The sequence below is a fragment of the Homo sapiens genome, chromosome 3 (assembly GCF_000001405.40).
Source record: "Homo sapiens chromosome 3, GRCh38.p14 Primary Assembly".
Taxonomy (NCBI): domain Eukaryota; kingdom Metazoa; phylum Chordata; class Mammalia; order Primates; family Hominidae; genus Homo; species Homo sapiens.
The window spans coordinates 87,845,682-87,871,630 of record NC_000003.12 but is presented as its reverse complement, the minus strand read 5'-3'; the positions used below and the strand labels follow the sequence as shown (position 1 = coordinate 87,871,630).

The window sequence follows — 25,949 nt, the reverse complement described above, 5'->3', positions numbered from 1 at the left end:
CACTTTCAACATTTTGATTATAATGTGTCTAGCTGTGGGCCTCTGTGGATTCACCCTAGTTTGAACCATTAAGCTTACTGAATTTAGATGTCCATTTTCTTCCTCAGATTTGGAAAGATGTCAGATATTGTTTCTTCACATAAGCTCTTTGTACCCTTTCTCTTTCTCTTTTCCTCCTGGGACTTCTGTAATGTATATATTTTCCCACTTGACAGTACCCCATAAGTCCCATAGGCTTTTCTTCATTCTTTTTTCTTTTTGCTTTTCTGATGTGATATTATCAAATGAGGTCTTTTCAAATTCACTGATTTTTTTTCTTTTGCTTGACCATGTCTGCTGTTGAACTCCTCTAGTCAATTTTTTCATTTATTTGTTGTATTCTTCAGCTCCAGAATTTATGTCTGGTTCTTTTTAATAGTTTCTATCTCTTTATTGATATTCTCATTTTGTGCATTATTTTCCTGATTTTTAAGGTTTCTATCTATATGTGTTTACTTGTAGCTTGCTGAGTTTTATTTATTTTAAATTCTTTTTCAGGTAATGCATTGATCTCCATTTTTAGTGCTGGTTTCTGAATATTTATTTTGCTTCCATGATTGAGCCATACTTCCCTGTTTCTTCACGTGATTTTTTTTTTTTTTCTGAGATTTGGGTATTTGATAAAGTAGCCATCTCTCCCAGTCTTCATGGACTGGTTTCATACAAGAGAAGACTTTCACCTATCATCCCAGCTAATTATTCTGGGTACCTTTCAAACTTTTTGGGGGCATGCATTTTCTCTGGAATTGTGCATATAAATTTCCAATTAGAGATGTATGTTTGGTCCTTTTTCAGAATCTTGTAATAACTTGCTTCTTCTAGCACCTATCTGTGGTACTGTGGTTTCTCTGGTGCTTCCACAAACTCCAGAGCTCTCCTTTGTTCTTAGTGACCCCTAGGCATCCAAAGTATGCTATATCTCCATCACTGCTCTGAGTCAGGTGAGACAGAAACCAATTCCTCAGGCAGCCCCATGAAAAGCCAGAACATTGGATGTGTGTTCCCCTTTCTTTCTCTCTCCCAAGACAGAAGCTGTGTTTTGGGCATTTTTTCTTTATTGCACCAAGCTGTGCTGGTTTGTGGAGGGCTATCATGAATGAAATACAGTAGCTTTTCTTAATTGTTTCATTTCAGTTGTTCTTGGCTTGGTGCATGCCTGGGGTATGGCAACTTCTAAGCTGGTTTCTGAAGTCCTGGTAAAGCTTTTTGGCTAATATATTGTTATTAAGTTACTGTCTTAGTTGGAGAATTCTTCCATCTTACTACTGTTGTTCTGAAAGTTTGATTTCTTTACACAAACTCTGGACCATCCTGAGAATATTCCTTGAGATATAATGATAACTTGTGGGGAAAGTTTTGACAATGAATCTTACTCCTTACTTGGAATACAGACCTCACTTTTATTACTAAAATAATTATAGAAAACTCACTTATAGTTTTTAGTTATGAAGTATGTACAATACCTGTTACATAGATGGTGCTCAGTAAATATTTGATTCCTTCCCCTTTAAGAATAAAGTGTTTCAATGTAAACATAATTTCATTGCATTTTATATGTAGCAATCATTGAAAATACATAATTTAGAAATAATTTTTACTATAGTTTACTAATGATAGGTTAGCAAACTGAGAATTGTATCTTATTTTATCAAATGTGATAATTAGAATGTGAAATTTTCATTCGCAACTATGATGGTTAATTTATGTGTCAATTTGGGCCACGTGTATCCAGATATTTGAACAAACATTATTTTAAGTTTTTCTGAGAGGTTGTTTTGGGTGAGATTAACATTTAAATCAATAGACTGAGCCAAGCAGATTGCCCTTCCTAACATGGGTAGGCCTCATCTAATCAGTTAAAATCCTAAATAGGACCGAAAGGCTTCTCCCGCAAGTAATAAAATTTCTTCTGCCTAACATCAGTTTTTCTTGTGTCTTGATTCTGGCAACCTTTGAAGCAGAACTCTGCTGTTTCTTAGGCCTTTGAACCTGAACTGGAAGTACATCATCAGCTCTCTTGGGTCTCCAGTTTATCGACTCACCCTGAACATCTTAGGACTTTTCAGCCTCCATAATTGTATAAAACAGTTCTTTAGAATATCTATCTATCATCTATCTATCTATCTATCTATCTATCATCTATCTATCTATCTATGTATCTATCTATCTATCTATCTATCTATCTATCTATCTATCTATCTGTTTGTCTATCTATCTATCCTATTGGTTCTGTTTTTTTCTGGAGAACCCTGACTAAAGCACTCACCTAACATGCTGTGGTATGGAGAGCTTTCAAATAATGTTCATGATAATTAAACTAGGAGATATCTTACAAGGACCTATTTGAATTAGCTGGACATATTAATATATACTTAGGATAAGTGCTATGTGTTTCAGTAGTCTATTGGCATTATAAAGCTTTTCTATTATATATGTTTGTTGTTGTATGCAGAAAAATTTAAGACTATTTCTTAGGTTGTGATAACAATAAAGTTCAAGGATTGAGGGCAGTTACTTTCTTCCTTGTTATCTTATTATTATTTATACATATATGAACGGCACATGTATAATAGCAACATTTGAAAAAAATTCAAAGGTTCATGCTATTTCAATTTTTCTTTCTTTTACATTGTTAATCCTTATATTAAAAAATCAGCATCTTATATTTATTATTTTTCATGGATTACCAATAATTTAAAAAGTCAAGACTGCATAATGTTCAGATAATTGACTAGAATGTTTGTTGTAAGTAAATGTACATTGATACCCAGTGCAATTAAGCTAACTTCATGCCCTTGCTAGATTCTTAAGAGGATTTAACTGAACTATGCTCTATACAGAGAAAAAAATGGAAATAATAAACATCATTGTTTGCATTATAGACACAGGCTTAATAGTAGACAGAGGTTTTTCTCTAATTCTCTGGTAAGGCTATCTGTTTTGGAGTTTCATTTTATTTAATTCTTATCTAAAATATATATTTTAATTTTTTCCTGAAGTTTTGAAAATTTCTAAATTTTATAATAATTTAGACAGGCAATATTTTACCTAAAAACAGAATATATTCAAAGATACTAAATGTCAACAAAGACAAAAAATACTTTAAGAAAACCTGCTACTAATATTTGTGTTGCATTCATTCTTCTATCTAATTATATCCTTCTTAACCATTTCTTTCTCTAAGAAAATCCTTTAACAAGTGAAAGTAGCTACCATATAAAAAGTGAAATCACATCTAATTCAAATTTCAATCAGAGAAAAAAATCACATAATCTGATTAGTTCTTTATAGGTTTTCATGAATTGGTTAATTGTTAATCTGAGTGACAGTCATTGATTTTATTATCCAATAAAAAATTAAAAGGGCTAGAAGAAACAATGAGATCCAACTAATGTCAGAAATCTCCAAGCTAAAAGCCACCATGGCAACAAAATCATCTTCTAAAGAAAATGTCAGAGGCTGTACATATTTTATTTGATGAATTAATGTGGTTAACTAATATGGAAGAGAGAGACAACTGTTAGTAGTGCATTAAGAAATAACAGGGAGGAAAACACAAAAACCCAAAATAAGGAATGGAATTTTTAAGGCAAACTGGATCATAAGCCATAGTTAAATCATTTCTGTTTACTTAGTGCTACAGTTTATTCCATTTGCACAGCAGAATCACCATTTAAATATAAACTTATAATTAATGATTTAGACAACAAGAAAGAGAAGCTATGAAATCAAATCCAGATATGAAGTTTTCTGATGGAATTATTATAGATCAAGACCCCTACTATTTTGTACAATGTGGTACCATTTTAAACCTCAACCATAGTGTATTTCTCCAGTGAAGAAAATTAGAACACTTTTAGTAATATGATTTAAGTAGAATTTGATATTATTTAAACAAAGAAACTCCAAGTTGCACAGAAGAATTGACAGATTTTCACTGAATAGCAGACATCTAGTTTCCTGTAGTGAGGACTGCATACATCTTGCACATATATACATTGATTTTCTGGGGGAGGTCACTCAGAGATAAAATATATAACTCATTTTCCTGGAGTATTTATTTTACTTTGATATTTTGGAATAAATGTTCAATTTTTGCCACTTAAAAGTTTTTGTCCCATGCTTGAGCGAATAAAAATTGAGTCTTGTTTTTTCCCCCCATTTTAACTCTTCTGAAGAGATCTGCTTGGGTGTGTGAAAAAAAGAGAAAATATATGAGAGAGAGAGAGAGAGACAAAAAGAGAAAGGTAAGATAGAACATTTCGATGTACAATGAGAGATTTAAAAGTTTGATGCCTCTATGTTCTGTAAGAACTTGCTGTTATTACTACTGCATTCTTATCAAGGGTGAAAATGCCAAAGAATTTGAAGCCAACACCACTGACTCACACAAAAAGTGCAAATGTGCTGCCCTAGGAAGGAATGAGTTTGAAGAGGGAATTTCCTACCGTGTTCTGGAAGATTTCATGGCTTGGTGTTTGAAAAAATACTTTGACACATTACAAGCTAGTATTAATTTTTTAAATTCTGTAATACTTCTCATAAATCAGTTCAATTTTCTGCAACCATCATATTGCATCAGTATTTTGTTTATAAACTTAATTATCTAAGCTGGCTATTACTTCAGGTTCAAACTGATGTTTTTAATAGAAATACTGCTCAGGGGAGACCATAAAGAAATGTAAAAAAGTGGTACTACACACCTTTTCTTCCACCTTAACAACTGCTCCCTGAACACACACACGCACACACACACACACACACACACACACGCACGCACACTTGTGCCCATGTACACCTCTAATAAATTCTAACCCGAACAATTTTCCTGCTCATTAGAAATCACTACGTTAAGAGAAACTGTAGTCAATAACTGTAAGAAAACAAACATCCAATTTTGCAGGAAATGCACTTGAAGTCTTTCAGTTTGGGGTTTCTTTTTTGCAAGTATGAGAGAAAAATTGGCTACAAGAAACAATATAGTGGAAAGTGTAATCAAACTAGCAAACTGCTTGTTTTCTGAAGTGTCCCTCTAGGTTAGTTGAATTCTCTTACAATGTAAAGGTCATAGTGTCAGGTAAAATCTGGTGATGGCTTGTAGTACAGATAAAGACATATTTTAATATTTTCCAAAAGCCTTCTAAAGGAGCTAGTTGTTTTTCGGTCAAAGGATTTATAACTTTGCTTATGGGTGCATTAGAGCTAAGATAATTGCCTTGACTAGTCTCTCTCCATCAGGACTCTGAATCCAAAGTCATGCTCTGACTAGCAGCTCTAAATCCTACCTGAGCAGACATTCAGACCCTACCTCTGATGGGGCATATGTTCGTAGCACCTCAATACAAAATATTTGCTTTTGCATTTGAGTCCCTTATTTTAAGTATTCTAGTTGGTAATATTGAACAATTATTTGACACTTTCTTAGGACACTGGATTATTGATTTATGGAAATTATTTTACAAAATGTTTTTCATTTTCCTCATGGTTCTCACTGGTCCTTCTTTTAGAGAGAAAATGTCTGGGTTAAGGAGGCTAGGACAGAAAAACTTAGGACAGGAAAAATTTTCTGGCATTGCATCATAAAACAACTAAGTATTGGGAAGGATGTGGAGCAAATGAAACCCTCATTCATTGCTGGTGATTGATATCAACTTTTTGGTAAGCTGTTTGTCAGTATCAACTAAATCTGAACATATGCAAGCCCCATGTGCCAGCAGTTCCACTGGTAGATATACATGCAACATGAATTTATATAACACTAAGAGGCATGCACCAGAATGTTCACAGTAGTCTATCTGTAATAGTCCCATACCAGAAACAATCAAAATATCCACCAAGAGTAGAACAGATAAATAAATTATAATTTTTTATACTAGAGAATATTATACACTTGGGAGAAATGGGAGTAGTGTTAAAATGAATAAAGTTAAATGAATAAGCCATTGCTACATACAAACAATTTTTATGATTCTCACAAATACAATGCTGGGAGAAAGAAACTAGACACACAAAAAATTCATATTTATTGTGTATTTATATATAGTTCTAGAATGAGGAAAATTAAGTAGTGATGGTAACAGTCAGTCAAGATAATTATTAGCTTTAGGGAAGAGGGTTTATGGTGACTGGGAGATGGCATAAGGTGATTGTCGGTGGCACTGATAATATTCTATTTCCTGATCTGGTTGCTGGCTACTATGGTCTGTTTATCTTGAGAAAAATTCATCAAGTGGTACACTTGTTATCTGTGCATTTTTAATAATATATTTTAAATTTCAATAAAAATATTTTCCTAAAAATATCTGATAGCAAGAGAGACTGCATTAGGTACTAAGAGAGTTATTATGAAATAAAATGAGTGATAGAGGTGATGATGTAAGGCAAAAAAAACCACATTGTTCTATTGGAATTTGACGTATTGAAGCAAGTAAATAAAGTCACCAATAAGTTTTAAAATGAATATCAAGGCTTCTGTATGACTAAATAACTCAGATCAACCCTTAGACTAACCTTCATGCAGATGACAGTTATATTTTATCTTTGAAGAAAGACAAAACTTCCTGAAGGCAGTAGACAGTGTCAAAAAGCAGACAGATGCTGGAAAAAAATCAAAACATTGTAGAAGGGAATTATGCTAAATGAGTTTTCCAGATATATTGCTTTTCTTTTCTTTTCTTTTCTTTTCTTTTTTTTTTTTTTTGAGATGAAGTCTTGCTCACCCAGGCTGGAATGCAGTGGCTCAACCTCAGCTCACTGCAACCTTTGCCTCCCAGGTTCAAGCGATTCTCCTGCCTCAGGCTCCCAAGTAGCGGGGATTACAGGTGCTCACCACCGCAACCAGCTAATTTTTGTATTTTTAGTAGAGACGGTGTTTCACCATGTTGGCCAGGCTGGTCTTGAACTCGTGACCTCAGGTGATCTGCCCTCCTGGGCCTCCCAAATTGCTGGGATTACAGGCATGATCCACCATGCCTGACTGATATATTGCTTTTCAACTGATGACAGGCACCAGTCTTCATCTTGTAGGGGAGCTAAAACTCCAGTAGAATACCTACAGTCTTTCTAGATTGAAGAACCTGAGGACAGAGTTTGGGTCAACCATAGTCGCTGAATAATGTCAGATGAGATCCTGGAAATAACAGAACCTGTAAGGTAGGGCCCTGAATTCTATGTATAAATTCTAACAGTTTTCTGGCTGACCAGAACAACCCATATGTGGTGCAGACTCCTAGAAGTGTTATCTCACGCTAAAGGAGTGAACTGAGATTTGGGCTGCCACCATTGCAAGGAAGGTAGTTTGAACTTTAAACTGGCTATGGTAGGCCAAATAACGGCCTCCCAAACTGTCCATGTTCTAATGCCCAGAAACTGTGAATATGTTAAATTACATGAAAAAATGGAATTAAGGAAGCAGATGGAGTTCAGGTTGCTAATCATTTGACCCAGAAAAAGGGAGATTTTTCTGGAATACATGAGTGAGCCCAATGTAATCATAAGGGTCTTTAAATGTGGAGGATGGAGGCAGAAGTATCAGAGTGATACAGTATGAGAAAGACTAGACTAGCCATTGTTAGCTTTGAAGATGGAAGGTGGCATGAGTCAAGGAATGTGGGCAGCTTCTAGACATTAGAAAAGACAAAAAAGAATATATTCTGGGTTGAAGGTCTTCAGAAAAGAATGCAGTGTTGCCAGTGCATTGGCTTTAGCCCAGTGATAACCATTTCAAACTTCTGATGTCTAGAACTGTAAGATAAATATGCATTATTTTAATCCACTTAATTTGAAGTAATTTGTTACAAAACCCATAGAAAAGAATACAGATTTTTGTACTGGCAGTGGGCTGCTACTGTTACAAATACCTAAAGTGTAGAAGTGGCCTTGGAATTGGGCAATATATGAAAGATGGAAGAATTTTAAGGAGCATTATAGAAAAATTGATTTCCTTGAAAAGGCTGTTAGTAAAAATATGGATGTTAATAACCGCTAGGGAAAACTCAGAAGGAAATAAGGAACATGTTATTGGAAACTGGAAAAAAATAAATCCCTGATATATAGTGGCTGAAAATCTAGCAAAATTGTATTCTGCAGGTATATGGGAAGTAGAATTTGTAAGTAATTAATGTGGATATTTAGCTGAGGCTATCTCATCCAAGCAAATATCAAAACTGGGTTCTGATTTCTTCCTGCTTCTTACAGTAAATTGTGAGTGGAAACAAATAAAATGTTTGAAAAATCATTAAACAAAAAGGACTAGGGTTGGATCACTTTGGAAAATCTCAGCCTATCCAGATTGCAAGACACTAAAATTAAAAGATTAACTGTCAGGAAAACGTGCTCTGGAAACAAACCAACAAAACCCCCCCAAACTCAAAGCAAGTGAGGGTATGGTTGGACGACCTTTTGCTAATCCTTCAGAAAGATCATTAGGTCATAAAATTCATTCATATAAAAGGCTTTTTGAAAAAAGTAAGTATGTGGCCAGGCACAGTGGCTCACGCCTGTAATCCCAACACTTTGGGAGGCCAAGGTGGGTGGATCACTTGAGGTCAGGAGTTTGAGACAGCCTGGCCGAAATGGTGAAACCCCATCTCTACTAAAAATACAAAAATTAGCCAGTGGTGGTGGCACATGTTTGTAATCCCAGCTACTCTGGAGGCTGAAGCAGGATAATCGGTTGAATCTAGGAGGCAGAGGTTGCAGTGAACCAAGATCCTATGACTGCACTCTAGCCTGGGTGACAGAGTGAGTGACTGTGTCTCAAAAAGAAAAGAAAAGAAAAAAAAAGAGTAAGTACATGAGTCAGATTAGCCATTTCATCAGAAGTCAAAAATAGAAAAATTAAAGAAAAATGATCCATTATATATAGAAGAACACACAATTTCAATGATTGCAGACTTTTCATTAGAGACAGCGGAAGTCAGGAGAAACTAGACCATAAAGAGTGGGTTTCTAGAAAAGATCCATGGAAAAGACACGTGTCTAATGGAGTAAATTTGTGTGACATATATTGGAGATCCATGCATTGGTCTTGAAAACTTTATATCAGCAGAAACACTGCCAGTTTGAATTAAAAAGTACAGAAAGAATACAAAATAAAGGAATGCTGTTTGTCTCCCAAAATTCTGTAGGTAAGATACAAGATGGTAAAACTACTCAGCTTCAAACACTGTATTATCTTTCACAATAGGGAAGGATTGTTCATGAGGGTTCACTGATCCCAGAGGGTGGATTGTTAAATTATAGACAACTGTTTTCAGCTGTTAAAAACAAATGAAGTTTACTTGGTTGGATTTCAAAATTGCTTGAGATTGGTAACTTATCAACCAAGAATTCTATATCCATTGAAAATGTTCTTAAAGAGTGAAGGTAAATTAAAGCCATTTTCAGGTAAATGAAAACCAGTACATTTGCACTTCAGAAAAATGCAAAAGAACATTATTCTGGAAGATGGCAACTCAGACCAGATGATTCTTCAGGAAGGGATAAAGCACACTGGAAATGGTAAATATGTGGTTAAATATAAGAGGTTATTTTTCCTCCTTATAATTTGTTTAAAATATAAATAATTGCTTAGAGAAAAGTTATAACATTTGATTGTGGGATTTATAACATATTTAAATGTGATATACATGAATGGAATAAAGGATAAAGAAATAAATGGACCTACATGGCTATATGGTTTTGATATTTTATGTGCAGTGGTATAATATTAATTGTAACTAGAATGTGAAAAGTTAGGAATGTAATCCCTAGAGCACTTGTCTAACAATATTTCAAAGAATTATACCTAAAAAATAATAAAAATTAATACCAGCAAAAGCTTAGAAAAACACAAATTTATGTAAGTAGAAGAGCTATGGGAAGGAATTGGCCATCTAATTTTCATCATGCAATGAAAAAGAGCTATTTATGTGTTTTCTAAAATATTTATGAGCTCCAAGGCCTCAAACTTCAGCAAGAGAAATTTAAGTCATGTATAATAAGGACTGTAAGGCATGTTAAATATTGCTACTCTATACGAGCACAGAAAATGGCTTGTGTGTCTATTCTGGTAAAAGTCAATAATAATTGTTAGTATAATATATTTATGGAAATACAGTCCTTGTAAAAGCATAAAATGAATGTGGCAATAATTTTGATTTTGTTCTTCTAATTGAAGATTAGGGAAAATTGTCATTTTCAGGAGGTAAAGCTCTTCATCCTTACTTGTGGGGCCTCATTTTATAATTTAATTATTTAGGCTGTATTCAAAATGGATTTAGTATTCACAGTGATAGGAAGAGTGAACAAAATGTTCTTAGTGAGTAAATTTAATTCCTAGTAAAACAAGTGGAATCACCATCTCAACTTTTTACCGATGAACAAAATCCAAAATTGCATACTTTCTTAGATATAATTGTTTCCTATTTGATAATAATATTTTATTATATTTTTTGAGATGGGGTCTCACTCTGTGGCCCAGGCTGGACTGCAGTGGTGCGATCTTGGCTCACAGCAAACTCTGCTTCTCGGGTTCAAGCAATTCTCATGCCTCAGCTTCCCGTGTAGCTGGGACTACAGGCACCTGCCACCATGCCTGGCTTATTTTTGTATTATTAGTAGAGATGGTGTTTTGCCATGTTGGCCAGGCTAGTCTCGGACTCATGGCCTCAAGTGACCTGCCCGCCTCATTTCCCAAGGTGCTGGGATTACAGGCATGAGCCACTGCACCTGGCCTGTTGTTAATATTTTATATGTAAGTCAAAGTAAGTCACTTTGGCATTCTCTTTTGCAGTTATTTATTTGACTTCTCACTTACTAACAATGAGTCTAAGGATTTCTGAACACAAAATTTAAATATTCTAGTCATTATGCCATGTCCTTATGCAAGCAAATGAATGCTGAACTATGACTGAGATGAATTCAATGTACTTTTCTGATTCTAAGCCTCAACCTTAATAAAATAGAAAAAAAATGGATCTCTCACTATGTGTATTACTTCACTGATGACGAGAGGGAAAAATTTAATATAAAATTCAATATACACGTTAGTTTTTCAAATCAACTAAGAATGACTTTGAACCTAGAAAATAATAACAATTCATAGGGAAAAAATGTGAATGACAAAGGAAGCATGTCTGAATAAAGATGTGGCCTAGTGTCAGAGTTCTATTGAAAAAGGACAGTGAAATAATTCCCAACCCAACATAATGTTCTCTGCAAAAATACAATCCAGTGTATGTTATGCCTCAAATAGCAACAAAAACTACAACTCAGTGTGTCATGGTACAATGTGTTTACATATTATATTTATCAATTGCTATAGTAAGTTTTAAAGTATGTTTATTGCTTCCGATCTAGAAAAGAGAGTTGATTTTATAGTGACTTAATTTCATTTAAAACTTTCAATTTTCCACGTTAAAAATGCATATGCCACCTAGAATGTTATTAATGTAAAATGGTATATGCAGATTATGATACAGATTTCTCAGCAAAATTCTATATCTATGCAGAGTATTTTGAAATTTTCTAAGTAACCTTCAATGCCAAGGTGTATACTTTTCATAACTGGCCACTTTACATTTGTAGTGAAAATTAAATGCTCATGTTTCTGCCTTTTTGTTATTATTGTTTTTTATTTTTGTTTTGGAGTCTATTGGATTTCTAATAAGATATCAATTTAGGTCAAGGCATCAATATTCATGATTTTGATCTCTGGATGAAAATGCAGAGTGAAATATCTACTTTTTTTCCCCAGCTTTATTGAGGACTAGACTTGCAACCTGAAAGGAGACTGAACTTGCCTCAGTTATGATTTGGAATTTATTGGCTTTCATCAAGACATGGCCTAGGCTGAATGAATTAAGTTAAAACTTAGTGGTGTATGCCTTGTGAATGCAGCAAGAGGGAGGCTGAGCCACTGTGGAGAGCACACAGGCTCTGCCTAGGAAACCTCATGCTTCTCATGTGCTTGCCACACCAGATGTTGCACCTTCAGCAGCTTTTTAAGTTCATTGAGCATTGCTGAATCACAAGCAGTATGCCGGGCTGCTCCAAGGACACATAGGTAATATAAGTTCACTTCCTGAAATGATTACAATTTTGTTAATATGCTTTCATTGTGTGATCGTTCCTACAAAATTTGCTACTGTTTTGTGGTTCTACTGTAGAAGCAGCATTCTATTAGTACCTCATTCTTGTTGTTGTCTGCAGAGTGGCAAACTACATATTAGTAAACCAGCTGGTCTTCTTGTCCTATCCCCAGAACCCTGAGTCAGGACAATTTAGTAGTATGAAGTATTTTTTTAGACTGAGTGACTGTTACTTGAGACTAACACACTATAGTGATGAACAGCAACAATAAATTCCTGTGCCAAAACTTCTCTTTTTTAGTTTGTTTTAACTTCCTTTTTTGACACAGAGTTTCACTCTTGTTGCCGAGGCTGGAGTGCAGTGGCACGATCTTGGCTCACTGCAACCTCCACCTCCCAGGTTCAAGCAATTCTCCTGCCTCAGCCTCCCAAGTAGGCTGGGATTACAGGCATCTACCACCAAGTCTGGCTAATTTTCTGTATTTTTAGTAGAGACAGGGTTTCATCATGTTGGCCAGGCTGGTCTCGAACTCCTGACCTCAGAGGATCCACCCTCCTTGGCCTCCCAAGGTGCTGGGATTACAGGCATGAGCCAACACATCCAGCCCAAAATTTCTTAAACTCAACAAAGGAAATGCACTGGTGAAAAAGAAAACCATTTGTCTCAGATCTGTAATTTCTGCAGCCGGATTTGTAAAGGAACTAGAAACAATTTGACCCATTACAGAGGATGTGCTCACTTTCATGGTAAAGCATTTCTTTATCATTCTTAGTAAAGGTATCACACTTGCTTTTAGGCAAAAAGGAGGCTATATTCAGAAGGTTACACAAAAGATTCCATGGTAAAACAAAAAAAAAACCGAGAATATCCATTTATTTCAGATAAAATTAATTTTACAAGCAATTACAGGTGCTTGCAAGAATTGAATCAACCACATCCATAAATATAGTACTTTAGTCCCCCAAAATATAGGTACTGATTCTCAAGAAAGAGTTCATGTTGGACATGGGATTAGGATGAATCTATAAAAAGTAAACCATGGATAGGAAAAAGGTGAACTGATGTGAAGTGCATGCCACGTTGACAGACAAGCTCAAAATAACAGGTCTGTCTTCTCGGGCAAAACAATGTAACACGATGGCTGAGGGTGAAGTTTTTCTTGACCCAGTCCTAATATAGACAAGCTTCTGCAGACGTTCACAGGAAATCACAGGTCATGATGACATAGAACTATTCAGTCTTGGTCACACTTTGTACCCCTGAGTTATATAAAATTTTACAGTGCTCTATACATGCCTTTGCTCAGTAAAACTGTAGACTTTCACTCAACAGATTGGGAGTATTTATCAAGCCATAAACTCCTTTGTCTACAACAAATCACTTAAGATTTACTGAAAATAATTAGACCAGGGCCTGAGTTTGTGGGACTAGGGTAGAGAATAGATTATAATTCGCTTTCTCCTTTTACTGTTGCAATCCTTACCAAAGGACCGATAGAGTAATAATGCACTTTACCATTTTTCTTTATTATTATTAATTTTAACTTTACAGTGTAAGAATACTGAAGCAATTTAGTTGAAAAATAAAAATAATAGTGTTATTATTATCATATCTTGCCGTAGGCAGAATAAAACCTCCCCAAAAGTTCCATACTCGAATCCCCAGAGCCTGTGAATATGTTACCTTACATGGGGAAAGGGACTTTGCAGATGTGCCTTAATCCATAGAACGTACAACACCAAGAGTGAACCCTAATGTAAACTATGGACTCTGGGTAGTGATGTGTCAATGCAAGTTCATCAGTTGTAACAAATGTACTACTTCGGTGGGGAATGTTGCTAATGGGGGAGGCTATGCATATGTGGGGATATATGTGAAATCTCTGTACCTTCCTTTTCATTTTTCTGTGAGCTTAAAATTACTCTAAAAAAAAAGTCTTTAAAAAGACTTGGAATGGAGATCACGGACATTTAGAAGACATACTAAAATATCTTCTTTAAAATGAGCTATTTTCTGTTTTTCTATTTTGGGTCTATTTATTATGGAAAAATAATACTAGAACTATTCTTTCTTTGGAAGGTATTTGTCATATGTCATAAATCTGCATGACTGGCTTTAGATGGAAATATTAATTTTAAAAACATCTATTTCCTATTTTATATTCTTCCTATTCATTATTCTCTATACTTGGAATGCAAATTATAATGATTTAGTAATCTGTATTCTACTTTTTTTTACCATAATCAGATGTTTGGTAAGAATTTTTTTCTCTTAATTGGAAAATATTTTAATTTACTACAACATAAAAATATTTGTCAAGTTGTAGTTCTGAAAAACCTGAGACAGTTTTATCTGCTTGTCTCCATTCCACCTGATACTCATTGTGCTCTTCAAGCAGAAAAATAAAATAATAATAAATAATAAAATAATTTCTTGGTTTCACAGAACAGTCCTAGGTAGAGCCATATCATAAAGAAATACAACAAGAAATGAAAACACTAATAAGTCTGGGGAAATAACAGGATAACATAAGCTGTAACTCTGAAAGCATTGGCAGAATCAGTGGCAGCTGGTACACGTCATTTTTGCTAATAATGCCCAAGGACTGTGTTTTGAGATCTTCAGAAGGTTCACATTTAATGTGGGGCTCTACAGATTAGATTATATAAAAACAGGTTATATGCCTTTTATTTCATTCTTAGAGGTATGGATACAGGTTGTGCCATTTTCTGTAATACAAGATTTGTCTGAATGCACATATTTACATGGGCATACATTTAGGAAAAAAGTGTTTAGTTGTATATTCTGAAAAATTTTTCTAAATTTTATCTTTTTGGTTTAATAATTTTGCATTAGTGACTAACTGAAGGTTTGTCTTCCTCTGTACTGTTGGAAGAAATTCTTTACAAAAAGCAGTTGTGTTTTGTGCATGCCATAAAGAACAAGTAGGTATAAATGTCAAGTCAATATTACACAAGACAAGTAAGTATAAGCTATTTATGGGACACTTTAAACTTTCAAATTATGTTCAAATATATTTACTTCTACATTCCTCATTTTTTAAAAAATAAATAGACCATTTTTAGAGCAGTTTTGGGTTCACTGTAAAATTGAGTGTAAAGTGCAGAAATTTCCCATATGCTCGCTGGGAGTAAGTATACCTAATTTTAAAATGTTACTTTATTCTGATTACACAATAAGGATTCTGTCATCTCTTACTCATGAGGGATACATTTCAGTACTCCCAGTGGATTCCTGAAACCCTGGATAGTACTAAACCCTAAAAATACTGTTTTTTTCTATAAATAAATATCTATAATAAACTTGAATTTATAAATTAGGACCAGTAAGAGATTAATAGTAACTAATAATAAAATTGAAAAATTGTAACAATATATTATAATAAAGGTTATGTGAATGTGTTTTCTCTCTCAAAATATCTTTTTACTATACATCTTAGCAACCTTGAAATATAATTTTTTTCTTAAATCAAGAACTTTCACCTTTTTACTTAAAGGAAGCACTTCCTGGCTTCTCTTTGGTGAATCCCAATTGCCAACATCATTAATGTTGTGCTTTAGGGCCATTATAAAGAAAAATAAGTGTTACTTGAACACAAGCACTGTGATACTGCGAGAGTTAATCTAATACTGAGAGGGTTTGTGACTAATAGGCAGAAAGTGTGGACAGTGTGGATACGCTGGACAAAGGGATGATTCACATTCCTGAGAGGGACACAGCAGAATGGAGAGAGATTTTATCATGCTACTCAGAATGATGCACAACTTAAATCTTATGAATTGTTTGTTTCTGGGATTTTCCAGTTAATATTTTCAGACCATGTTAGGTTATGGGTAATTCACACCAGGCACAACGAAAACTGCAGATAAGACAGAACAACTGTATAAGTAATACAATGGACAGAGAAAAAAAATTCTAAAAATGTGGCCCCCTAATGCATCCCACTTTTCTCCCACTATCAATATCAAATTAAATTCATTCTCTTTGCTGAGTCTACCATTGAGACTTGCTGGGGGAGTTACAGAAAAAGCGACTGGAGGGTTTTCACCCTCTGTTTTGGAGAAAGGTGTGGAAAGCAGCCTTGGAGGCCTCTGGGATAAAGATCTGAACAAAGCTTTTTCTAGGAAGAGCTTGATCCATGAGGATCCCTGGATTATCAGGAAGAGGAAAAGATTAATATTATGGTAAAAGTTCCTCAGGTCTTCATGTTCTGTCTTTAGCAGGCCAAAGAGTAGTTAAACAGGTGAGAACTAAATTGTATCCCCACTTAAGCCTTCAAGAGCACAAGGGAACAGAGGAGCAGAGAGCTGCCTCCAGATGCTTTGGAAGGCTGACAAGTTGATGCTAATGTACACTGCATACAAGAGAAGATGCCATTGCACCATCCATTATTGACTGGGCAAGTGGAGCAAAAGCCCATTGAATATATGAAGAAATGTATATCATGTCTAAGTGGGGGGAAGATAACAATGAGAGAGAGACAGAGAACACACAACTAGGAAAGATGCTCTAATGAATAGATCTGCTTGAGGAGACATAAAGCAACCCGACCAAAAAACAGCAACAACAACAACAACAAAAAATATTTAAAACATTCAGGAACAAAACAATAACATTTCTAGAATGACAAACATAATTTTTGAACAAAAAGTTAATAGATATGAATGTCAAGACGAGTCTTAAATTAGTAGGCTGGAATGGAAGAGGAAGAATGTCTCGAACCACAAAACAAAAATGCAAAAAGAGTATACCAGTAGATTCAATTTCATCTGTTGCAAATAAATTTTTATGTTTTCTGACTATAATCAGTAATAATGAAAATACATTATTTTCAAATATGTTTTTCCAAATATTTCACTACATAGAATTTAAGAAGTACCACTGGCAATAACTCAGACAAAGGAGGATATCAAAACTGGCATTACATTTTTAAGAAATTAAGCACTTAATCTTTCACATCAGAATGAATGGAAAGCAACAAAAACTGTACTCAGAAACAAATATATAGCCACACCTACCCTAGGTATTAAAGAAGTCAGACTAAGAAATAATAAGTATTAGGAATAAAGATAGACAAAAAGGAATCAATGAAGATAAAAAATAAAATCAGTTATTTAGAAAAAAATCTTGGAAATAAAAACAGGTCTCAAATCTGATTCTTATAACTCAAAACAACTAATGAGGTAGATAAGACACAAATAAATACATTCAAGAAAACAGAAAATCAAAAATATAAAAAAAGAGAAAGGAGTCCTAAAACTGTAATTCTTTTAAATAGAAACACTAAAAGAATTTTCAGGGAATGCTACATGTAATATACTGGAAATGGGGTTAAAATTCTACATAAATAATTTTCTGTAAAAATAGAAATTACTAAGATGAACATAAGAAGAAACGAACAAAGTGAACAATTACTATAGAAATAAATGTAAAGATATTAAAATGATGACATTAAAAAGGTACCAGGATAACATAGATTTATAGCCAAATTTTACTGGCTTTTAAAAAGCAGTCATTCATGCATCTGACAAAGGTCTAATATCCAGCATCTAAAAGTAACTTAAACAATTTTACAAGAAAAAAATAAATAACCCCATTAAAAAGTGGACAAAGAACATGAACAGACACTCGTTAAAAGAAGCATACGTGTGGCCAACAACCATATGAGAAAAAGCTCAATATCCCTGATCACTAGAGAAATGCAAATCAAACCTACAATGAGATACCATCTCACACCAGTCAGAAAGGCTATTATTAGAAAGTCAAAAAATAACAGATGTTGGCAACGTTGCAGAGGAAAAGAAACGCTTATACACTGTTGGTGGGAGTGTAAATTAGTTCAACCCTTGTGGAAAGCAAAGACATCAAAGACCTAAAAACAGAAATACCATTCGACTCAGCAATCCCATGACTGGGTATATACCTAAAGGAATATGAATTGTTCTACTATGAAGACACATGCAGGCAAATGTTCATTGCAGCACTATTAACAATAGCAATGACATGGAATCAACCTAAATGCCAATCAATGATAGACTGGATAAAGAAAATATGATACATATATACCATGGAATACTATGCAGCTATAAAATGAAAAGATCATGTCCTTTGCAGGAACATGGATGGAGCTGGAGGTCATTATCCTTTTAGCAAACTAACGCAGGAACAGAAAACCAAATACTGCATGTTCTCACTTATAAGTGGGAGCTAAATGATGAGAACACATGGACAAATAGGAACAACACACACTGGGCCCTACTTGAGGGTGGAGGGTGGGAGTGGGAGTGGGGAGAGGATCTGGAAAAATAACTAATGGGTACTAGGCTTAATACCTGTGTGACAAAATAATCTGTACAACACACTCGCATGACATGAGTTTATAACAAACAAAGAAACTAGCGGAGTGGGAGTCTATAGAGTGAAAATCTGAAGTCTAAGCACATATTATAAAATCTATCGAGAGGAATTGATCTGAATATTTAAAAAGCCTAATGAAATAAAATAGAAAACATTAGAGCAAAAAAAAAAAACAGCCACTACAATGTTAGTTAAACCATGTCAGATTATAGAAAACTATAAAACTTTATTGAAGGACGTAAAAATATGAACAATGAAATATTCTGATTTTTTGAGGGAAGTTTATTGCAATTAGAATCACAATAAGTTTTAATATTTTGTGGTTTAAAACACATAAAACAAATTTCTCACGGAAGAATAGATGTCTAAGAATAGCCAAGTGAACACTGAAAAGAAGATTACTAAGGGAGGATTTGATTTAGCAAATAGCCCATATTAAAAACAGATCATACAGCTGTAGCAGAAAAACACCCACATGGCACATGTATACATATGTAACAAACCTGCACGTTGTGCACATGTACCCTAAAACTTAAAATATAATAATAATAAATTTAAAAAATCTACAAATTGCTTGCAGAATACATGAAAACTTAATGTATGACACAGGCAATAAGAATTTGGTAGGAGAAAATGTGATTTATTTGATAAATATATCTGGGTATTATTTCAGGATAAAACTAAGTTGAACCTCTACTTCATATTATATGCAAAATAAATTCCAAATGAATTAAGAAATAGCAATTTTAGAAATAAGCCATGGAGGCTACATCTAAAATCTGGGAATGAACAAGATTTTCTAAAACAGGAACAGAAATGCATAAACTATAAAACAGATATAAAGAATTCTTGATACAAAATTTGTAATGAAGATGATAAAAGCTAAAATCCAATAAAAAATAGTTAACAAATTGATAAGAAGAAGATAAAATGCAATGAAAACTTGGGCAAAAAACTATGGGTAATCATTTTATTCTAGAGAAAGTTCAAAGGCCAATAAACATAAAAATATAATGAAATTCATATTAATCAGGGAAATGCCCATGAAAGTATCAATAAAATACTATTTCATAGTCATCAGACTGGCAATAATCCTTATTGCTAGTGGGGATGTTTGGAAAAATAGAGTCTCAGCTATTGCTGGTAGAAATGTACATTCTTTTTTTTTTTTTTTGGCTTGGATGTTATATTTATTTTTCAAAATAGCAAAGTAAATTAAACTGTTATTTTCATTTAACCCATTTCCTGTTTGCTCTGAGAATACTTTTACTTCTAATCCTAATGTAACATCATATATAAGAAATGTACATTCTTATAGGTTTTTTGACAGGAAGAAAAACTTAGCACTACTTTATTTCAAAAAATACATATGGTTAGGCCTGGTAATGCTAATCCTGTAAACCTATACCATAGCAATTAAAAGCATCAATTCATTAGGATAGATGTTCAGGGATGTTAACTGCCTCATTGTAAAAAGAATGTCATAGAGGAATAGTTGGATTTATTATGGCATATCAACAGCATGGAATATTAGACTGTCATTAAAAAGATTGAGTTAGCATAGTTGGCCTGAAAAGTCCCATGAAATAGCATTAAGCAATAAAAGTAAGATGCAAACAGATGCATATAAATATATTTTCAAAAAGCTAATAAAGCCCCTATATATGTAAGAAATTATATAAGCAAATTTTTATAGATTACCATCTGGGAGTGAAAATAAAATGGCTAAATGGTTATCAGATTGAATGAAAGTTTAAAAAAATAGTAGTTAAAAAAATACACATGACTTGCTTCCATTTCAGTAAAATGGAAGCAAAGTCTGTGCAAATAATATATACATAAACAATTTGAATAGTTATACAGAATCAGATCTATCTGCTTCTTAGGTGATCATGATAAACTGTTAAGTGAAAAAAGAGAATTGCAAAATAAAGAGCATAATAAAATTTTGGTAAAAGAAGCTAGAAACTAATGTTTAAATATGTATAGTTTTGTAGCACCCAGAAGAAAAATGTGGAAAGATGCACCCAGGCTTGTTAACATTTTTACTTCAGTGGGACAAAAACAGATATAGGTGGTGGGATGGCAGGTAGCAATGGTTAACTCTGCATTTAAACATACTGTCTTGTTACTCTTATTATAAAACAACCAAATAATAACAATTTTTAGAAAGACAGTACTTATATATTATAGTATAGACAACTATAGAAAATTTAGGTAAATAAAAAACTGTGATGAAGAAAACAAAAATCACCTAATTCCAGAAGAGAGCAATACCTGTTGCTAGCATTAGTTTTGGTAAACTTTCCCTAGGTTTTTTTTTTTGTTGTTGTTCCTAAATACAATTAAATCTGCATACAAACTTTATATATGCCATTTTCATGATCAGAGTTCATATGTTTTTCTTTATGATTTGTGCTTAATAAAATATAAATTTTTCTATATTAATTTTTGAAAATATTTCTATTGACATACTTAATTTTTGAATATATCATAATTTTTAATTTGCTAAATAACTTTCTCACTTTTTTTATTATTATACTTATGTTTTAGGGTACATGTGCACAACGTGCAGGTTTGTTACATATGTATACATGTGCTATGTTGGTGTGCTGCACCCATTAACTCGTCATTTACATTAGGTATATCTCCTAATGTTATCCCTCTCCACTCCCCCCACCCCACAACAGGCCCCGGTGTGTGATGTTACCCTTCCTGTGTTCATGTGTTCTCATTGTTCAATTCCGACCTATGAGTGAGAACATGCAGTGTTTGGTTTTTTGTCCTTGCGATAGTTTGCTGAGAATGATGGTTTCCGGCTTCATCCATGTCCCTACAAAGGACATGAACTCATCATTTTTTATGGCTGCATAGTATTCCATGGTGTATATGTGCCACATTTTCTTAGTCCAGTCTATCATTGTTGGACATTTGGGCTGGTTCCACGTCTTTGCTATTGTGAATAGTGCCTCAATAAACTTACGTGTGCATGTGTCTTTATAGCAGCATGATTTATAATCCTTTGGGTATATACCCAGTAATGGGATGGCTGGGTCAAACGGTATTTCTAGTTTTAGATCCCTGAGGAATCACCACACTGACTTCCACAATGGTTGAACTAGTTTACAGTCCCACCAACAGTGTAAAAGTGTTCTTATTTCTCCACATCCTCTCCAGCACCTGTTGTTTCCTGACTTTTTAATGATCATCATTCTAACTGGTGTGAGATGGTATCTCATTGTGGTTTTGATTTACATTTCTCTGATGGCCAGTGATGATGAGCATTTTTTCATCTGTCTTTTGGCTGCATAAATGTCCTCTTTTGAGAAGCGTCTGTTCATATCTTTCGCCCACTTTTTGATGGGGTTGTTTGTTTTTTCTTGTAAATTTGTTTGAGTTCATTGTAGATTCTGGATATTAGCCCTTTGTCAGATGAGTAGATTGCAAAAATTTTCTCCCATTCTGTAGGTTGCCTGTTCACTCTGATGGTGGTTTCTTTTGCTGTGCAGAAGCTCTTTAGTTTAATTAGATCCCATTTGTCAATTTTGTCTTTTGTTGCCATTGCTTTTGGTGTTTTATACATGAAGTCCTTGCCCATGCCTATGTCCTGAATGGTATTGCCTAGATTTTCTTATAGGGTTTTTATGGTTTTAGGTCTAACATGTAAGTCTTTAATCCATCTTGAATTAATTTTTGTAGAAGGTGTAAGAAAGGGATCCAGTTTCAGCTTTCTACATATGGCTAGCCAGTTTTCCCAGCACCATTTATTAAATAGGGAATCCTTTCCCCATTGCTTGTTTTTCTCAGGTTTGTCAAAGATCAGATAGTTGTAGATATGCGGCATTATTTCTGAGGGCTCTGTTCTGTTGCATTGATCTATATCTCTGTTTTGGTACCAGTACCATGCTGTTTTGGTTACCGTAGCCTTGTAGTATAGTTTGAAGTCAGGTAGTGTGATGCCTCCAGCTTTGTTCTTTTGGCTTTGGATTGACTTGGCAATGCGGGCTCTTTTTTGGTTCCATATGAACTTTAAAGTAGTTTTTTCCAATTCTGTGAAGAAAGTCATTGGTAGCTTGATGGGGATGGTAGTGAATCTGTAAATTACCTTGGGCAGTATGGCCATTTTCACGGTATTGATTCTTCCTACCCATGAGCATGCAATGTTCTTCCATTTGTTTGTATCCTCTTTTATTTCATTGAGCAGTGGTTTGTAGTTCTCCTTGAAGAGGTCCTTCACATCCCTTGTAAGTTGGATTCCTAGGTATTTTATTCTCTTTGAAGCAATTGTGAATGGGAGTTCACTCATGATTTGGCTCTCCGTTTGTCTGTTATTGGTGTATAAGAATGCTTGTGATTTTTGCACATTGGTTTTGTATCCTGAGACTTTGCTGAAGTTGCTTATCAGCTTAAGGAGATTTTGGGCTGAGATGATGGGGTTTTCTAGATACACAATCATGTCATCTGCAAACAGGGACAATTTGACTTCCTCTTTTCCTAATTGAATGCCACTCATTTTTAAACATTTAGATTATTTTATTGTTTTTGTAATTCTAAACATCTTGTACCTAACATTTATATAAAGAAAATGCATCCTATATATATTATTTCAAATGCTAGACATATAAAGCTCAATAACCTAAAAAGCTTCTGCACAGCAAATGAAACAATAGAGTGAAGAGACAACCTCTTGAAGGGGAAAAAATTTGCAAATTACTTGTTCCGCATGGAATATCCAAAATGTACAAGGAATTCCAACAACTCAACAGAAAAAAAATCCCACTAAAAAATGGGCAAAAGGGCAAAAGACATGAATAGACATTTCTCAAAGAAGACATACAAACAGCCAGCAGGTATATGAAAAAATGCTCAGCATCAGTAATCTCCAGGGAAATGCAAATCAAAACCGCAATGAGCTATCATCTCACCCCAGTTCGAATGGCTATTATCAAAAAGACAAAATTTAACAGATGATGGCAAGGATGTGCTGAAAAGGGAACTCATACACTGTTAGTGAGAATGTAAACTAGTACAGCCACTGTGGAAAACAGTATTAAGATTTCTCAAAAAACTAAAAAGAGGCCTACTATACAGTCCAGTAATCTCACTGCTAGGTATTGATTATCCAAAGGAAAATAAATCAGCATATCAAAGAGATGTCTGTACTCACATGCTTATTGCAAAGATATGGAATCAACGTGTCATCAGTGAACAAACGCATTTAAAATGTGGTATATATGCACAATGAAATATTCAGCCATAAAGAGCGCAGTCATGTCATGTGCAGCAATATGAATAGAACTGAAGGTCATTATGTGTAAGTGGAATAACCTAAGCACGGAAAGACAAATACTGCCTGCCTTCCCTCACATGTGGGGACTAAAAATCTTGATCTTATGGATACAGAGAATAGAATGATGGGTACCAGAGACTTGGAAGGGTGGGCGAGGGCAAGAGGAGAATAAAGAGAGGTTGGTTACAGGCATAAAGATATCATTAGATAGAAGAAATAAGTTCTAGTGTTTTGATAGCAGACTAGAATGACTATACTTAGCAATAATATTATGTATATTTCAAAGTAACTAGAAGAGAGGAACTTGCAATGATATCAGTGTAAAAAAATAATAAACACCCAAGTTAATGGATACCCCAAATACCTTGATTTGGTCATTACATATTCTATGCATGTAACAAACACTCACATGTACTCCCATAAATATGTAAAATATTGTCTATCAATACAATAGAAAATATAGATATATAAAATTTTCAAAAATAATTCCTGGAGGTGTAAGTCTTCAGTTCAAGCTGTAGAATTTTTAAATGTAATTGATATATATTGTCAAATAGAACCCTAGTAAATTTGTGACAATTAACCCATCTGCAAAAATATAAGATTAAAGTGCCTCTCTCAAAGCATCACCATTATTATTCACAAATCTTTGCTAATTTGGAAGGCTAAATTTAAAAAATAGTTCATCAATCTTTTAATTTGCATTTCTTTGATTTTTAGTGAAACTGTACATTTTTATATGTTGAATGATCATTTATGTATATTTTATTTTATGAATTTTTTATTTTCCCCATTTTGTATTTAAATGTTTGGGCTATTTTTGTTTTTATTTTTCCCCAATATATCTTAAAAATAGCAATAATATATTTATCTACAAAAATGGATACTTCTGAATATACTTGCCATAAAATTATTTTAATTTTAATTAAAGCTAATTAAGGGTAATTGACCATAAAGCAACATTTCACTGTCTGCTAGAAAATTTCTATAAAACTATAAAATTCAACTCCAGCAGGAAAAACTTGAAATTTTCTTTCAAAAGCTATAAATCTTATGTAACTAAAATACAATGACTATCTTTAAAGAATTTGTACTTAAACAAGAAGTTGTTAATTCAAACTTTATTCTCAACAGAAGCAACTTATTATATTACCGAATAGTGTCCTCTTCCCAGTTCCAGCACTGCAAGCCATTACTCAATTGTGGAAATAACACTGAATTTGTAGCTCAAAACAAACAAACAAACAAACAAAAAAATTGAAATGCTGACTATGTTGCTATCTAGCTGGGTGATTTGGAAAAGTCTTTTGTCTTTTTATGAGCCTTATTTTTCTCATTTATTAAATGATAAAGTTGTATAAAGTTGGTATTCTATTTCAGTTATCCGCTTTGTGTTCATAATATATTTTTTTTTTGAGATGGAGTCTTGCTCTGTCACCCAGGGTGGAGTGCAGTGGCACAATCTTGGCTCACTGCAACAACCTCTGCCTCCCAGGTTCAAAAGATTCTGCTGCCTCAGCCTCCGAAGTAGCTGGGATTACAGGTGCTTGCCATCACACCTGGCTAATTTTTTGTATTTTTAGTAGAGACAGGGTTTTGCCATGTTGGCCAGGCTGGTCTTGAACTGCTGGCCTCAGGTGATCCACCTGTCTCAGCCTCCCAAAGTGCTGGGATTACAGGCGTGAGCCACCGCACCCGGCCCATACTACTTTTATAGTTTTATATAACTATGTGTTTTTTTAATTATCTGTTTACTCTCTTCCCTACAAGAATCTCAGATCCACCTGAGTAGGAAATTTGGTTTACTGCTTATCCCTAGCCCTAGAAGATGGCTAGCACATAGTGAGTGTGCCATCAAAAAATTTCTAAAGAATTGCCTGTCTGTTGTGTGCTAAGTACTAGGATTTGATGATGACTAAAATCCATGCTCCTAAGGAATTTACAATCCAATGGACAAATTTGTGAGTGAAAACACCAAAATAATATTTGCAGAGGAAAATATATATTCCATAAAATATATTGACTCAAATAATGACAACTTGAGCAATGCATGGTAATAGCGAGTTTTTGTTGTTGTTTTGTCAGTTTGTTTACTTTGGTGTGGTAAGACAGAACTTGTGCCATGTCTTGTATTTGAAAAAGAAAGTCATTGGTAGCTTGATGGGGATGG

The 25,949-nt window shown here is 34.1% G+C and overlaps 1 protein-coding gene across 5 annotated transcripts in view; it reads right to left on the bottom strand.

Annotated features, from left to right (window-relative positions):
- The window catches only part of HTR1F (5-hydroxytryptamine receptor 1F), a 201,134-nt gene that overhangs the window by 122,209 nt on the left and 52,976 nt on the right, over positions 1 to 25,949 (bottom strand). The window lies entirely within an intron of this gene.